This window comes from Homo sapiens, chromosome 9, assembly GCF_000001405.40.
Source record: "Homo sapiens chromosome 9, GRCh38.p14 Primary Assembly".
NCBI lineage: Eukaryota > Metazoa > Chordata > Mammalia > Primates > Hominidae > Homo > Homo sapiens.
In genome coordinates this window covers 93933863-93950772 of record NC_000009.12, presented here as the reverse complement: position 1 = coordinate 93950772, position 16910 = coordinate 93933863, and the positions used below count along the sequence as shown (strand labels likewise).

At 52.7% G+C, this 16910-nt stretch overlaps 2 annotated features.

Moving 5' to 3' along the window:
• Positions 811 to 1736: an enhancer, noted in NCBI's record as "H3K4me1 hESC enhancer chr9:96711319-96712244 (GRCh37/hg19 assembly coordinates)". NCBI's record gives its function as "activates a minimal SCP1, AML or CMV promoter by ChIP-STARR-seq in naive H9 embryonic stem cells {active_cell/tissue: H9 hESC(naive)}" and the evidence as "EXISTENCE:reporter gene assay evidence [ECO:0000049][PMID:30033119]".
• Positions 1737 to 2664: an enhancer, noted in NCBI's record as "H3K4me1 hESC enhancer chr9:96710391-96711318 (GRCh37/hg19 assembly coordinates)". NCBI's record gives its function as "activates a minimal SCP1, AML or CMV promoter by ChIP-STARR-seq in primed H9 embryonic stem cells {active_cell/tissue: H9 hESC(primed)}" and the evidence as "EXISTENCE:reporter gene assay evidence [ECO:0000049][PMID:30033119]".

The window sequence follows — 16910 nt, the reverse complement described above, 5'->3', positions numbered from 1 at the left end:
CTGGTTAAAGCTCAGGAAGACTATGAAACTTGGCCATTCAGAGTTCCTGAAGCCAGGTCCTTCCAGACTCAAACAGGAAAAGAGATTTAGGTACAACAATAACAACAACAACAACAACAAAAGAGATTCAGGAACAAACAAACAAACAACTCAGCTGCAGGCTTTGTGTTTCAGAATGTGAAAGTGACTTCTTCTGGCCCCCACCTATTGTGGCAACACCTTTCCTTTCAGATCTTGGCTTGATAGGCTCTTCCCAGAACCTGAGCTTGCACTTCCCCTGCCGGTACCTCAAGGCGGAAGGAATGAGGGGTGGGCGGGGGGGTGGCGGGGGGAGGGCGGCGTGGGGAGAGGAGAGGGAGACAGCAAGCACTTTCCGAAGGCTGCAGCCACTTTCCTCACCCCAGTCCTGCCAGGTGTGGTAAACCAGCTCTTGCTCACTCTGAGTTCTTAATTCAGCCTTGCAAACAGCTCCCAGACTACTCGCCTGCTTTTCCTGAGGAGCCAGAAAACCTACCCAACCTTGACCGCCTGGAATGAATGAATCATCAGTCTGTGACTGCGGCCCTTAATCCCTTCCAGCCTTGGGGTTACTCCTACGTCTTTCAACCTAGTGACCCTACAGTAACTTTCCTGCGCTGGTCCCAGCAGCCAAGTGACTTACGTGACTGCATTTAATCCTCTCCATTTGAAAGGACAGGAAGTGAAGGTCTGACTTCTGTGGAAAGGGAGGCCTGAGGGACCTGGTTTCCAGCTATGTCTCTACCATACAGAGTTGTGAAAGAAGGTAGAATGCACCTACACCAGTCAAGAGGGGAAAGGAGGGGGATCTGACCAGCATCAGTCACAGTTAGTTCAGGGCTCTCCGGTTTTACTAAATCCGAGGAAGGCAACCTTCAGCAGATTAGCTGCCTTGCGAATCTTTGGCATTTTCCCAAGGTGCCTTGCTGTTCTGGACCTAGTGGTCTTTGTAGGACCAGGGCTCTGAGGGGTTGGGGAGGGGGTCTGGCCAATCCGGAGTCAGAGCACAAGGGCCCCAATATTTCAGCGAGAACAGCCACCTCCCGGCACAGAGGGGAACTTGATGCGGGAACTCCGGTCCGGGGGTCACCTGTGGGTCAGTGGGGAAGTTGGGCCTCAAATGAGGGAGACCAGATTCCAGGCCCTGCAGTGCGGGAGGGGTGGAGTTGTTGTCACTGCCTTCACCTCTGTGCTCCTTGCCGGGACAGGGAACGCAGAGGCAGACCGAGTCCCCGAGACTGGGGAAGAGGAGAGGGCTGCACGCCATTGTGTTTGGGCAGCTCAGGGCTTCCTTGCTTGGTGGAACCCTTGAGACCCAACGGAAGCTCCAGGCCCGCTCCAGGGAGCTAAGGCGCAGAGGCAGACGATTGCCCGCCGGCCCGGAGACCCCGTGCTGACCTAGCCCACAAAGCTGCCACTCTAGGTAAAGGGCCGCATCCTGTCTTCCAAGGTGACACAGTCTGTCGGACTGCGCGTGCCCGACCGGAGCTACCTGGCGCCCGCCCTGCGTGCCACTGCGCCCCAGCCACCGAGCGCTGAGGTTGTCTCTCTGCCTGCAGGCAGCAGTCGCATCCTTCATTTCAGGCCCGGGACTTGAAGGAAAGGTCCCTTGGATCCCATTCCTCTTCCGCTCTATGCACAAGTCTCTTCTCATCCCCAAAGTCCTGGGAAAAAAACCCAGATATGGCGTGGGCCCAGGTGGCTGAGCTTCCCGGAGCCCGGGGGCCGCAGCCAGGGGAGGGAGAGGGCTCAGGAGTCTCGCGAGAGCTGTGGCCCTGCGGGAGTGGGGAGCGCCTGCGACCGCCTGGACCCTGGGGACGCGAAGGGCTGGGGGAGGAGAGAGGGCTGGGATTAGCCTGGCCGCAGCGTTCCCCCAGAGGCGCGAAGTTTGCGCTCAGTGTGCTTTGTTCAAGGTGGCCTGGGGAATGAGGGAGTCCTTGGGGAGGCTTGTCAGAAGGGCCCCGGCCCGGGATGGGGGAGGGGGTCGCTTCTCCACTGGTGTGATCCTGGCCGGAGCAAGACGTTCTCCTGGTCAGTAGAAGGGGAGCTGGAGAGTCTCGGGAGAGAGAAGATTTGGGCGGCGCCCAGCTGGGCCCAGCACGCAGGAGGCGTGTGGGGAACGGAAGGCCACTTGCAGCTGGCTTGGATATTCCAGCTTACCGCGGGCTCCACGCACAGCCCCCGCAGCGCGAGGACAGTCGCAGGCGTAGTCGCGAGCGGGGGCGCCCCATCCCTCCCCCTGGCTTTTCACCTAAAAAAAAAAAAAGTTCCTCTGGCTTGCTCCCTTCCCTGTTCTGGATTCCCCTAGAGGGTCACTTGTGGGGACTAAGAAAGAAAAAAAAAAAAGAAGAAGCGCGGGTCCCAGCCCAAGTCGACAACAGCAGAATCTGAAGTTTTTGTCCCCTGGAGCTGGAGGGCACTGTCTTACTGTGCCTACAGGGAAACCGAGCAGGGCCAGCTAGGAGTGGCCAAAATGTGGTCCTCTCAACCCCGAGTGAGCACCTTCACTCGGCCATCTCTCCCCATCTCCCTGGAGCTCCAGGGTCCGAGCAGAAACCTGGTACCGCCTTTGTTTTCAGTTGCTCCCCTGCCTGATTTCCTTTCTACAGGTCAGGGAGCCTCTGCCCTAGAAATGACAGTACCGGAGAAGGAACGCAAAGGACATCCCCTGAGCCCACTTTGGGTTCCTGTGTCCACGGAGGAGACTAGCTGATGCTGGGAACCTCTGTCCCCTCTGTTCAGGCTGGGTTCCCCAGCGGTCCCACCTACAGCCCCCACCCTCCCTCCCAGCTCAGCCCGGGGCCAGATCTCCGAGCTGAAGGAAAACTTCTCAAATGCCACCTCCCCAACCCCACTGTAGGGAGGTAAGGGAGCTGGGACTCCTCGCTCCGCTGGGCGGGGCAGGAAGGTAATGGCAGCCGAGGGGCCAGCAGGTGCTGACTCTGGCTCAGCTCTCTACCTCTATTCTGGTCCCCCGGGCCACTCATAACTTCCTGCCCCAGGACTGTCAGAGGCCCCTCCAGGGAAGGGCCTTTCCTCTTGGGATCTCTCTGACTTTGGAAGGGGGACCCTCACTGGTGTGACTTCAGAAGTTCAATTTGTCTTAGCTCTTACACAGTAGTGTCCCTAGGTCTCGACTTTAAGACAGCATCTTCCCATTTCTGAAATCTGGGTTCCATGACAGTTGAGATGGGGACGAGGGTCCCAGAGGCTGTGGGTGTCATGGATGCTCCATGTGACCTCCCGCCCACTCCCATGGGTGTACTGCCGAGGTTATTTAGCCATTCCAGTGAACAGTGGTGGCCCCTGGCCTCTCAGGCACCAACACTGGAGGGGAAGACCACAGAGGGGAGTCCTTCAGCTAGGCCAAGGAATTCACAGGGGAGGAGAAGCTTGGGGCGGGGCGGGGTGGGGGGTGGTTCTTCAGCAAGGCATAGAAATTCACAGGGGAAGAGCAGCTTAGAGGGTGTCCATTGAGAGAGGTGCCTCTGACCTCTCTCAAAGAAGGCTTCTCAAAGAAGTTTTAGGAATACCTCCACTGATGATTGATTGCGCTGATAGTTGCCGTTTTGATGTAAACTCAATAGTGATCTGTGGTTTTTTTTTTTTTAAATCTATGTGCTAATAAGCCTAAAAGAGATATTTGAGTAAGTATAAAATAAAAATTCCAGGTGATATGAGAGCAATGGGTTATGGCTTCATTCGCAATATTTAAACAACGTTTCTTTCTCAATGCTTCAGGAAATAATCGTGCATCTGACATCAGTGGCAGCATGGACTGGCTGATATGTATCAAGCTCTTATGTCAGCCCTTCATTCCTTTAACAAGCACTTATTGAGTATGGCAGACAATTCCTAGCGCTAGGGACAGAACCCCCCCCCCATTTCTTCTGAATTACTTTATCGATCCAGGGACACCCCAGTAAGCTAGGTGCTCCTGCTCCCATTTTCCAGAAGATAAAGCTCACAGATGTTAGGCAACTTGCCCAGGAACACAAAGTCATTAGCAACGAACTGGATCTGATTTCAGCTTGGTTAGTCTCCACTGCCCCTCACTCAGCAGCCTCAAGGTCCAGCTTGGAGTGCCCCACATGCCTTAGAGTCTCCAAAGCCCCTGCCTGCCTGGAATAAGTCTCACTCATTTGTTCACCAATTTGTTCAACATGCCCTCTGCGTGCCAGACACTGTGCTGGGGAGGGGTGGACAGACGGTGAAGAAGCCACAATTAAATCCACAAGATGATTTCAGAGAGTGGTCGTTGTCATGTGGAAAATGCAGCAGGTGATAGAAGATGAGTGGGGTGGGGGCTTTAGTCAGGGTGGTCTGGGAAGATTGGTCTCAGGAAGTGACCCTTCAGTGGAGACCTGAGTGACCAGGAGGAAGGGTCTGTGTTGTGAAAAGCGCCTGGGGATGAGCGAAACCAAGTGCAAGGTCCGGAGGCGGTTATGAGCCTAGCGGAGGGAGGTGGTGCAGTGGGAGGCCAGGGTGTCCGGAACGAGCAAGGAGAGGTGGAAGAGTGGGAGAGAGCAGGCAAGGATGTGGGCCCAGGCGCCACTTGGAAGCGCTGGGAGGAGGCAGCGTCTTGCTCTTGCGCCTTGGCCCGGGAGAGCCCCTGACAGCCGCCCCAAGTCCGCCCTGCCGAACGCAACTCCGCCCGCACGCGCTGCCGCCCCAGCCCCCGCGGCAGCTCCGCTTCCACCAGGCAATTTGCTTTTTTTCTCCTTTTTCATAAGGATGCAATTTTCTGCGTGCTTTAAGGACATTAGAAGGGCGTTTGACTGACGCGCCATGCGAAACGCATTAGCGAGGCTCGTGCTGCGCATGGCAGGCGGCGCCGCCCGTGCAAGGGGCAGGTGGAGGCCGAGGTAGGGGAGGACACGCAGAGGGACTCGACCCCGAGGGAGCTGGGACCGAGACACGGGGTAAGAAATGCAGAAAGGAGAGACAGAGGTGGAAGACAGCGGCAGTGTCTAAGAGAGAGAAAAGGGGAAACAGGGAAGTGTGTGTGAGAGAGTGGGGGTGGGGAGGCACAGAAACGGCGGAAAGGGAGGGGAAGAAATGGAGAGACAGGCTGGAGAAAGGAAAGGGAAAGAGCAGATAGGAGAAGAAGGTGGAAAAGTTGGGGTGAGGAAAGAGTTACTGAAGGAAGGCAGCCCAGCTGTCCCGCAGACCACCATGTGACCTTGAGCACAGAAACGGGCGAGTTCCCTGCCTGGTAGTGGAGAAAATGGAAAGTGACAGAAAACTTCCTCCTTGTGTTTCTGCTTTTCGAATGAGCCAACTCCCTCCTTCCCCAGGGCACTCGCACATGCTGTTCCTCAGTCTGCAATGCTCTTCCCTGTGCTCCCGGTTGCCAGGGACTGTCTCCTTCTTCCGTCCTGGGCTCCAAAGGGTCGTTTCGCAGAAGAGGGCTGCTCTGACCCTGACTCACACTGCAGTGCGCTCTGGCACTCACCACCACTCACAATGCCTTCTGTATCTACCTGGGATCTATCTTTGGGGCAAGGTCTCTCACAGCTCCTGTCCACCTAGCATTCCCCTGCACTTTAAAGAACTTACTCTGCAAATGCTCCGACACCGCTCCCGCCCCCCAACCTCAGAGTCAGGAGGATGCTGGCTGAGTGGTTCTTTTTTTTCCCCCAGGGGTATCTGTAGGAGTCCCTCCTCCTGTCTGAATGGTGGCTGGTGGCTGAGTGTGGGCGGGGGGAAGGTCTGGAGGGGTTTGGGCTGGTCCTGCAGTCAGGATTTGGGAATGGTCCAGGGGTCCATGTGGGGATGTGGTGCAGGAGCACCAAGTGGCATCGTTTCCCAGCCCTGGAGCCTGAAGGGAGCCCAGGCCCTCTCCAAGCAGAGGCAGGGATAGAAGCCAGCTTGCACTGGGGACCAGCTATGTGTGCCAGGCCCAGGATGGGGCCTCTCCACCCCCATCTCCACCATTTTGGAAGCATTGATGTTGGGCATGGCCGTGGCTAATCCCAGTGTGGTTAATCCTAAAAACCTCTTGAGATAGAGAGGGTGAAATCTGTTTCTCAGATGAGAAAACTGAGGCTTAGAAAAGGGTCTCACACCTAGTGAATGGCAAGCAGAGCTGGGGTGTAATTCAGCCCAAAGTAACTTGATGAGCTAGTCCTGTACCTTCAGCCCTGAGAAGATTCCCAGAGAAGGCTTAGCTGGCTGAACTGCGTTGCAATTCATTCCAGAATACAGCTGTTCTGAGTTCAATCAGTGAAGGCCCCGAATACAAGCACAGCTGAGCCATGGGGCAGCCTAGCACTGTAGTTAAGACCCAGGGCTTCATCATTTGTTAGCTGTGTGATCTTCGGCAAGTTACCTGTCTTCTCTGTGCCTCAGTATCCCCCTCTTTAAAATAGGAACTGATAACATGATCTCATGTCCTCATTAGGTGCCTGGACATGCAATGAGTGGGATTTCCTCCCAAAAGATTTTTGGAATAAATGTGAGGGTATAACTTGGTGTTCGCGTACTGTCCCTGGAGCTGATGGGAGCTGCTAGGATGGAGCAGCTCACAGAACTGCAGGGGGCACCCCTGTTCTGGGCAAGGGGACAGGGCTGGCTCTCTGCAGGCCTTTGCTGCTCCTTTCTCCTTGTGGGCTGATGATGGACTATTGTCAAGGAGAGAGCCTGGGCTTTGGAGGCAAGTTTGTGCTGGGGTCCCTGAGGGTCTGGCATAATTCCCTTCCATTGTCTTCATGGCACTTACACGAGGGCAGTCCTCGGGAGCTGCCCATCTCTCCCACCAGCATGTCTGCTCCGGAAGGGCAGAGACCCTGCCTGTCGTGCACCCCAGTTCCTGGACAGTGCTGGGATGTGGCAAGTGCACAGCAAAGATCTGTGGACCAGATGAATGAATGTCCTGCTGCCCTGACACTTACACACTGGGAGGTCCCGGCCAAACTCTCACTGTCTGGTTATGACCCATGTGTGAAGATCTCATATGACAATAGTTAGCTTAGCCTTCCCTGTCACAGCCAGTGGAATGCAATGCCCTCTCCTCCCCTGCCTGCTGGTGGTAAACTGAGGCAGGGGCAGGGGCAGGGTGATTGACAGTCCCTTGGCAGCATGGGTGTCACCCTAGGGGTGCTCCACTCTTGGGGCTCCTCAGGGTCTCATAGGTCAGGCTATGTCATTCCTACACTGATGCTTCAGCAGCTCTCAGTCAAACCCGTCAGGCCCTGCAGTGAATGAATGAACGAATGAATGAATGAGTGATGGCCCAGTTCTTTCAGCTATAAGCTCTGGCTTTGAGTTGGCTCAGGACTTCGGCTGCCACCAAAGCCTGCCCTTGCAGCAGCCTGAAAGTGCCAAGAAATTCACCCCTTCCACCCTTGAAAGTGGTCCTCAACCAGGGGTGGGCGGGAGTTTGTGGATAGACACCCGCCTCACCCCCAGATAGATGATGCTAAGGGGTGCTGTCCACACTGGCTCCCAGAGTTCCCCTGCAAGGTCAAGCTCCAGCTGCCCCTGGGTTGATTTGCTGGACCCCACACCCTTTGTCAGCTGTGTGGTGTTGGTCTTGTTCTGTGTAACATGAGTGGATGGGCAAGCTCCATAGAGGGCCACTGTGGGGAGGGGAAACCATGAAAGCAGCTCCCCTCATGTCTCCGAACTGTTGTGGCTCTGGGTAGGCTTTTATCTGAACAACAGGATAGCTGCAAAGCGAGGTTTAAGACCAGCTAAGAGTAGAGACTTTCAGAGGACCCTGCCCAGCTCAGAGCTTCTGGAATCCTCACGTTCCCCTTCAAGCAGCCACTGGCTTTGCGTCAATCATGCAGCAGCCTCCCTGGTGTGTAACAGGGAGGAGGAGGAGGAAGGAAGAGGGAAAGAAAGGAGGAGAAAGCAAGGAGGATCGCACACCGTCTGATGCCCGGTCTGTGTAATGCTGGCAGCAGCTATTCAGAGGCTGGGATGGCTGCCTGCATTTCCTGATCTTCAAGGAGACCTTGGACATCCTGTGAACATAAGAAAGCAGAATCCCTTCTAAAGAAGGGACAGCGTGCTTCATTGTGAAGGGGCCCCGCTGGGCAGCTCAGCGGGTTCTTGGAGGCCCAGTCCACATGGAGCTCCTGTGCTCTTGCTGATGGGGGATGCGCAAGGCCGGAGAAAGAGGAGGAGGAGGAGGAGGAGGCAGCGGCAGCAGCAGCAGAAACCAGCATCATAGTCAGGGAGTGAGTGGGGCTGTGGGAGAAGCGCAAGTGTGGATGCCCTTTACATATCATTTATTTGTTCATTCATTCATGTATTCATTTCCTCATTCACTTATTTGATCTTACAATAAGAAGTTATTCGTGCCTTATTTGTACACCCATGTTCGTAGCAGCATGATTCACAATAGCCAAAGGGTGGAAGCATCTTGAGTGTCTATCAGCGGATGAATTGAGAAATAAAATGTGCTCTGTACACACAATGGAATGTTATTCAGACTTAAAAAGGAAGGAAGTTCTGACCCATGCTACAACGTGGACGAAACTTGAGGACATTATGCTAAGTGAAATAAGGCAGTCAGCAAAGGGCAAATACTGTGTGATTCCAGTTATATGAAGTCCCTACAGTCATCGAAGTCATAGAGGCAGAAAGTAGAACGGGGGTGCCAGGGTTTAGGTGGCTTTGGACAATCTCGCTTCTCCCCCTTTACTCACCTGTAGTCCTCAAGAATAACTGTAGAATGTGCTGTGGATATGACACCCATAGAGAGGGACGGCTGGGGCAGCCCTGGCTCTGTTCCAGTTCCCCCCATAGAAGCAGGATGTCCTTCAATGGTTTAGCCAGCAAGCCTCTTTGCTCCATGGTCTAAAACCCAGCCCAAGACCTGCTTTCCAGGACCCTTCAGCTGGGGTGCAAGTGGGGCACACATGAATGAACAAGACAGGGGATCCCAGGCTTCCATTGTCCCTTGCTACCTACTGTAAGGAACAAACCCGCTTCATGTAACCTGTTGGGTGCCTGTGTGTTCTCTCACTGGACTCTGACAATTTGCTAGCCAGTGCACAGTGAGCCTACTCTGGGGCTGGAGGAGGGGCAATGGGGAATTCGTGTTGAAGGGGGACAGATTTTCAGTTTTACAAGATGGAAAGAGTTACACAGATGGATGATGATGATGGTTGCACAACAATGTGACTGTACTTAAAACCACTGAACTCTTAAAAATAGTCACAATGGTAAATTTTATGTTATGCATATTTTACCACAACTGAAAAGTTATTGTGCCTTCTTTGGACAAGATTCTGGGCTTGGCCCATTCCCTCAGAGAGCATGCATTCCCTCACCTTCTGCATCATTTACTCTGAGCTGATGACTGCTTTCTTCACTTGTTAGTACATTCAGTGAACACAGCTGGGCATCTGATGATTCTAGGACACAGCTGACAGCAGGACAGACAAGACCCCACCCTTGGAGCCACATCTAGTTGTGGGGACAGTGAACAAAATTAGTAAGTAAAGATGTAATAGGTCACAAAATGGAAGTGCTTTGGTGAAAATAAACCAAGGAAGAGGAATGGGTGCACAATCCGACAGGCCCCACGGAGGTGGTGGTGACACGGGAGCAAGCGAGAAGTGGGAGGGGAGGAGCACAGCAGGCACAAGGGCCCGGCCAGTGCGGCAAGAGTTTGTGGGGCAGGCTTGGGCCTAGCTTTTCCTTGGAGAGGGGGTCTGACGGAGGTTTGAGGGTTCCTCTTGCTGTGTCTGGGGGTGGGAGGAGGGTCTAGGCAGGGAGCCGTGGGAATTACTGCCACCATCCAGATGAGAAATGATGGGGCTGGATCAGATGTGGCAGAGGTGGACAGAGGTGGGATTCAGGTGCATCCTGAGGAGCGCTCAGTTGCTGCTGCTGAGCTGGAGGAGCATTAATGTGAGGCCTGAGCTGTGGCAGGTGGGAAGGACCCTGGGGAGTAGAGGTGGGAAGTGGTGCCAGCCGCTGGCAGTTCCCTGCTGGCTGCCCTCCAGGCAGCTGGGACTTGATGTCTGTGATTAGGCATGGGCAAGGAACAGGGTTGGGGACTCACAGAGAAGAGGAGCAGCTCATTTGATCGAGGAGGAAAGCGTGCGTCCTGGTAGGAGGACCAAGGTAGGCTTCAGGAGAGGTCCCAGGTCCCATGAGAGGAGCAAGGGTAGGCTGGGGACAGTCCCCCCATGGAGTTCTGGGAAACAACCTCTGGGGCTGTTCTCCTAGGGAAGCTGGTGCCGGCAAAGAAAAGCTTTCTCCTAGCGTCAGCTGCCAGAGATGTCTGTCAGGGGGTAAGTTCCCCATCACACGAGGTGTGTGATTCAAGAGGGGCGGTCACAAGACAGCTGCAGCAAGTGGGCAGCGCTAGCCCTTAGAGTTGTTTCCTAAATGAGACGGAAGCCAAGGGGGAGTGGGTGAGACCCAAAGCACCATTTCCGTGCCTATGCCCAAACCTCAGGGCCACCATCTCTGCCCGTGTGTCTGAGCTGGTGGACAGCACGGAAAATGGAAGGGAGGACTCAGGCTGGATGCTCATGGCGCTATATACCTTGCTCTTCTATGTAGTACCTGGGTATAAGCCAGGCTCAGTGTCCCACTCCTGGAAAGGCCAGCCTTCAGGACTACATCGTAGGGGTCCCATTGTGTCTGGAGCTGGTTCCTTCCAGTGGGTTTGTGGTATGGCTGACTTCACGAATGAAGCCGCACACCTTCACGGTGAGTATTACAGCTCTTAAAGATGGCACGGATCCAAAGAGCAGCAGTAGCAAGGGTTATTGTGAAGAGCAAAAGAATAAAGCTTCCACAGCACGGAGCAGGACCAGAGCAGGTTGCCGCTGCTGGCTGGGAGGTGGCCAGCTTTTATTCCCTTATTTGTCCCCGCCCATGTTCCGTTTCTGTCCTATCAGAATGCCCTTTTTCAATCCTCCCTTTTAGGGAGGCTACTTTTAGGATCCTGCTGATTGGTGCATTTTACAGAGTGCTGATTGCTGCATTTTACAGAGTGCTGATTGGTACATTTTACAATCCTCTTGCTAGCTACAGAGCGCTGATTGGTGCGTTTTTACAGAGTGCTGATTGGTGCATTTTGCAATCCTCTTGTAAGACAGAAAAGTTCTCCAAGTCCCCACTCGACCCAGGAAGTCCAGCTGGCTTCACCTCTCACCATCTATGTCCTGGCCCCTCTCTTCTGGGGTCCCTTGTCTGCAGGACAAGCCTCTGTTTCTGGATGTCTTCACCACAAAGTGCTGCTTGTGATTTTTTTTTTAAACAGTCTGTGAGTTATTCATGCATTTAAAATTATTTTAATCTATTTTACACGCTATATAAATGGGGTTGTATGTGTTTCCTTTTTATTAAAGGTTTCTTATTTAGGCTGCTTGTAATATGACCAGGAGGCTGTCTGCTGAGGCCTGGGATTTTTGTGGGGCTGTGGAGTGGTCCACAGCATGGAGGGCAGCTCTGCCTATGGGATGCTGTTAGTACCTCGCCTGGTGGCCTTGGCACACCTCCCATCTGTGGTGCTGCAGCCTCTGGGGCCTGTATGTGTGGGCTGCAGGTCTCCTGCACACGGTGGCATGAGATGCTTGCCTGCCCAGGTGGTCACTGCCAAGGCCCCAGGGAAGGAGCTGGTCAGATAAGAAATGTTGTCAGGACATGGTCTAGACACTTGATGGACACAGTGGAAGACCAGGCAGCCCAGGTCCTGTCCCCATGGGGCTGGCTTGATTTGCTGCATTTTTGAGAAGCTGTGAAGTGCCTGGTTTGTGCTGGGGACACACAGAGGGGTTAGAGCCAGCCCTGCCTCCATCAGCTCCTATCTGTGGGGAGGTAGACTCTGCCTTTCTTTCTTTTTCTTTTTCTTTCTTTTTTCTGAGTCTTGCTCTGTCGCCAGGCTGGAGTGCAGTGGCGCGATCTTGGCTCACTGCAACCTCTGCCTCCCGGGTTCAAGTGATTCTCCTGCCTCAGCCTCCTGAGTAGCAGGGACTATAGGCATGCACCACCACACCCAGCTAATTTTTGTATTTTTAGTAGAGACGGGGTTTCACCATGTCAGCCCGGATGGTCTGATCTTCTGACTTTGTGATCCGCCTGCCTCGGCCTCCCAAAGTGCTGGGATTACAGGTGTGAGCCACCGCGCCGAGCCAGACCCTGCCTTTCTTTTGGCTCTCCTGAAGGCCCCCTCCCCTCTCTACTGCTTCTGCCTCCCCTTCTGCTCAAGACCCCCAGCCACACTGACCTCTTGGCTATTCCTCCAACATCTGCCCTAGGGCCTTAGCTCATGCTCTTCCATCTGCCTGGACTCTCCTCCTCCAGACTTGCCCACAGTCCACTCCCTCTGGCCTCTCACAAGCTGCTCAGGTACCCAGATACTGTCTCCTTAGTGAGCACCCCATTATAGCCCCAGCCCAGAACCCCTAGTCTGGCCCACCCCCTCTCCCCACTCACTGCTCCAGTGTGCTCCACAGCTTATATACCTATTGGGCACACATCCGCTGTCCTTATTTTGTCTTTACGTCTCTCTTCCTCCAGAATGCAATCTCCCAGCACTTTAGTCTCTTTTATCATGTGTGTCCTGAGCTCTCAGGACAGTGATTGGCACATAGGAGGTTCTTGATAAGTACTTGTGGAATGAGTGATGGATGTGCTGACGGATTAAGTAACATCTTTACGTCAATCTATCGTATGCATTTCAGTAGGGTCTGTGCCCAGGGGTGGAACTGCTGGGTCATAGCATATGCATAGGTTCAGCTTTCCTGGATCAAACAGTTCTCCAAAGTGACAACACCATCTTATCCTCCTCCTGGGAGAATCCTTAGTGCTCTACGTCCTCCTCAACACTGGGCATAGTCAGCCTCTTTCATTGTAACTTATCTGGTGGGTGTGTAGTGCTAGCTTGCTGGGATTTTAATTTGCATTAGCACCTTTTCATATATATAGTGCCACGTGGATATCCTCTCTTGTGAAATGATTATTCAAGACTTTCCGCCGGGTGTGGTGGGTCACACCTGCACTCCCAGCACTTTGGGGGGCCAAGGTGGGAGGACCACTTGAGGTTAGGAGTTTGAGACCAGCCTGGGCAACATAGTGTCTACTATGTTTTGTCTCTACAAAAAGTACAAAATTAGCCAGGTGTGGTGGCATGCACCTGTGGTCCCTGCTACTCAGGAGGCTGGGAGGGCAGGATTGTTTGAGACCAGGAGGTCAAAGCTGCAGTGAGCTGTGATTGTGTCACTGCACTCCAGCCTGGGCAGCAGAGTGAGACCCTGTCTCAAAATGAAAGACTTTTGTCCATTTTTCTACTGAGGTACCTATTTTCTTCTTATTAACTTGTAAAAGTCTTTATGTATTAGGCACAAAACCCTCTGTCACTGCATGGGTTGCAGTAAGAACATAGTCACGTGACACTAAGTCCACACCACCCTCCCTCCCTGCACACTTGTCTGGAGCTGGGTGTGCATGTGCAAGTCAGTTCTTCAGGCACCCTCAGTCCTGGGAAACCTTAACTGTGAGTACTCCACCTCAATTCAAGCTGTTCATTCAGCTGGTGCTCAACTGAGGGAACAAGTGGTCCATTTCCAAGTTGCAATAAAGACAGGCTGGGTCAGCCTGGGCTTCTCATGGGCTGTACTGGCAGTCTTGGGCGTGACTCTTTCCTGAGGGTGATTTTGGCTCTGAGTGTCCATCTTAGAAGTAGACACTGTGTGGGAAGTGGCCACACCACTGGGTCTCAAAGGAACATGCTTACTTCAGTCTCTGGTGCTTCACTCACAGCATACCCCTATCCTCCCTTGGCCAACCACATCATTGACACATTGCTGAAATGCCTGCCTGGCTTCTAGGCCTGGTGAACTCCTGCTTCCCTTTCAAGATTCAGTGTAGAAACTGCCTCCTCCAGGAAGCACTCCAAGCCCTTCCGAGGATGAAGTAGGAGCCTCCTGTGTCTGACTGACTGGCTATCTGGCTGGCTGACTGACTATTTGAGTGACTGACGGACTGGCTGACTGACTGACTGACTGGCTGGCTGACTGGCTGACTAGCTGACTGACTATTTGAGTGACTGACTGGCTGACTGACTGGTTGACTGACTGACTGGCTGACTGACTATCTGACTGGCTGACTGGCTGACTGAGTGACTGACTGACTGGCTGACTGACTGGCTGACTGACTGACTAACTGACTTACTGACTATCTGACTGACTAACTGACTATCTGACTGTCTATCTGTATGACTGACTGATTATCTGACTGACTGGCTGGCTGGCTGACTGACTGAGTGACTATCTATTACTTCATGTTTCTCCTTAAACCCATTCACTGTTTTTTAGGTTGGTAGATCTCTCCATTTATTTTAAAGTAATAACCATAATTTCTTCTTTTCATATTTCTGAATTTTCTAATTTTTAAAAACTAGACTTTATTGTTTAGAGTAGTTTCAGGTTCACAGCAGAACTGAAGGAAAGTGCAGCAAGTTCTCCTATACCCCTCCCCACGCATGCACGGCCTTCCCCATAATCAGCATCCCCCGGCAGAGTGGGGTATTGGCTGCGACTGATGAACCTACATTAATGCACAGCGATACCCAGGGTCCCCAGCGGATGTTAGGGTTCTCTCTTGGTGCTATATACTCTGTGTGTTTGGACAAATGTCTGATGCCATGTATCCACCACTATAGAATCCCACAGAGTAGACTTACTGCCCTCAACACCACCTGTGCTTGATCTCTTCATCCTCCCTTCCCCCAAACCCTGGCAACCACTGATCTTTTTACTGCTCCAGGGTTTTGCCTTTTCCAGAATGTCCTATAGTTGGAATCACACAGCATGTATCCTTTTCAGATTGGCTTCTTCACTTGGTGATATGCATGTAAACTTCCTCCCTGTCTTCTCAGTACTTGCAGCCCCTTTCTTTTTAGCAATGGATACTATTCCGTTGTCTGGATGTCCCACAGTTTGTTTATCCATGAGCCTATCCATAGGCATCTTGGTTGCTTCCCAGTTTTGGCAATTATTATGGATAAAGCTGCCATCAGCATCCATGCGCAGGTTTTCATGTGGACATACATTTTTCAACTCCTTTGGGTAAATACCCAGGAGTGTAATTGCTGGATTATATAGTCAGAGTATGTTTAGTTTTATAAGATGTAAATAAACTGTTTTTTAAAAAAGAAAGACTATATCATGGCAATAAGTGGAAAACCAGTATCGTCTTGCCGTACGTAGAAAGTAAATTTAAGAAAAGAATACAATAAAAGAAAAAAGCTCATCAACTTCTGGCTAAACCATGATCTTGCAGAGTCAGAAGCCTTAGATCCTGAGGGCTGCTCTCTCTCTATTCAAAAGGGCACCAGCAGGTGTTGGAAGGTATGCCAGGTTTCTAATGCAGTGGCAGAGGACGAAACAAAGTGTATGGATGACCCCTAACCATTCACTCTCCACCTAAGTGCCCCAGGGGCCTGCACGCCACTCTTGGGACTTGAGGCCAGGCCAAGCATTTCAGGCCCGAGGATGGTGGTGGGCGATGCAGAGAGACTCAGCTTCCCATGCCCTGGTGCTTTCTCCTCCTCCTGGTGGGCACAGGGCCCAGCATCTAGAGCCCATCTGTGCCCTCCTCCCTATGCTGTGCCCTCCTCCCTATGCTGCATCTCCTGCCGTCCAGCAGCTCCCGCCCAATGGCACTCAACCAGAATGGCAAAATGGATCCTTTGCTTTATTTTTAATTAAAAAGTCAAGCGTCTGTTGATTCAATAAAGACTAAAATAAAATTTACCTGAAATCCCAGCCCCCTCCGTGAGTCTCTCCAATTCCTCTCCTATCAAGACTGCTAGCCACAGGGATTTGGGGTGTGTCCTTCCATACAGGTTTGAAGCTCAGAGACTCTCACCTTTCTCCTGTACTTTTAAAATCGATCATCTCTCTACTTCCCTTTGTCTCCCTATCCTACTACCTTGTGTGTTACCACTGGGTGTGCTAACTGCTGAGCTGCACGCAGGACAGCCATGCATAGTTTTGTGGGTCCAGCACTGCCCAAGGCTGACAACTGTGTGGTGAGTGGGGCTGAAATCTGGCCTGCGTTTCACTGGCTGAACTGCAAGTACTGGGTCTAGACTGCATTCTCCTCCCACAAGAGGAATCTTCTATTTTTCCTAAAAACTGCCTGCAGATAGGCAGAGGCACTCATGGATGTGTTGTTTTGCCTTCGGTCTGTGGGCTCCAGTCAGCTGAAGCAAAGTACTGGCCATCCGGCCCTGGGCCCTGTATCTCTCCTTTATCTGCGTTCCCTCTCCTACGCATGACTGTTCTGATGTATTTAGGGGGTTTGCTTTTATGTTCTTATGAAGTGTGTATCACTGTTTGGATGTTCAAGACAGTGCCTGGCTAATAGAGGCACTCTGTAAATGTTTGTTCAAGGAAATGAATGAATAAGATGAGTTTTTAACGTAGACCATTGAAATTGTGCTGTAACCGTGCCTCCTTCTGCATCTTGCTTTTTGCACACCGCACTGTGGTTTTTCACAGTCTGTCTGTGTTGCTGGGAGGGATCCCGCCCATTGCTCCTGACGGCTGCTGGGTTGTGCCCAGGAGGTCCCTGAACTGCTTCCCCAGTGGTAGACCCCGGGCTGACCCCAATTGTCACCTCCATCCCCTACCACACCAGGGCTCCTCTCAGGCTGAAAGAGCGTTTGGCAGATACCCAGGAGCAGAGTGGTTAGTGTGAATTTACGGGGTAAAACACCATGCACCCTTTGTGATCCCCTCAACGCTGGCTTGTGCAGTGCCAGGCTACGCTGGGTGGCCCCTCACTGTCAAACCTGGAGTTCAGGCTTCCTAGGGCTTGAAGTGCAGGGGTGTCACTTCCTGGAGGCCTTGGCTGGTGGAATACAGGAGGGACAGGGCCAGGCAGATACATTCCCTACTCTTTCCTGGGGCTCC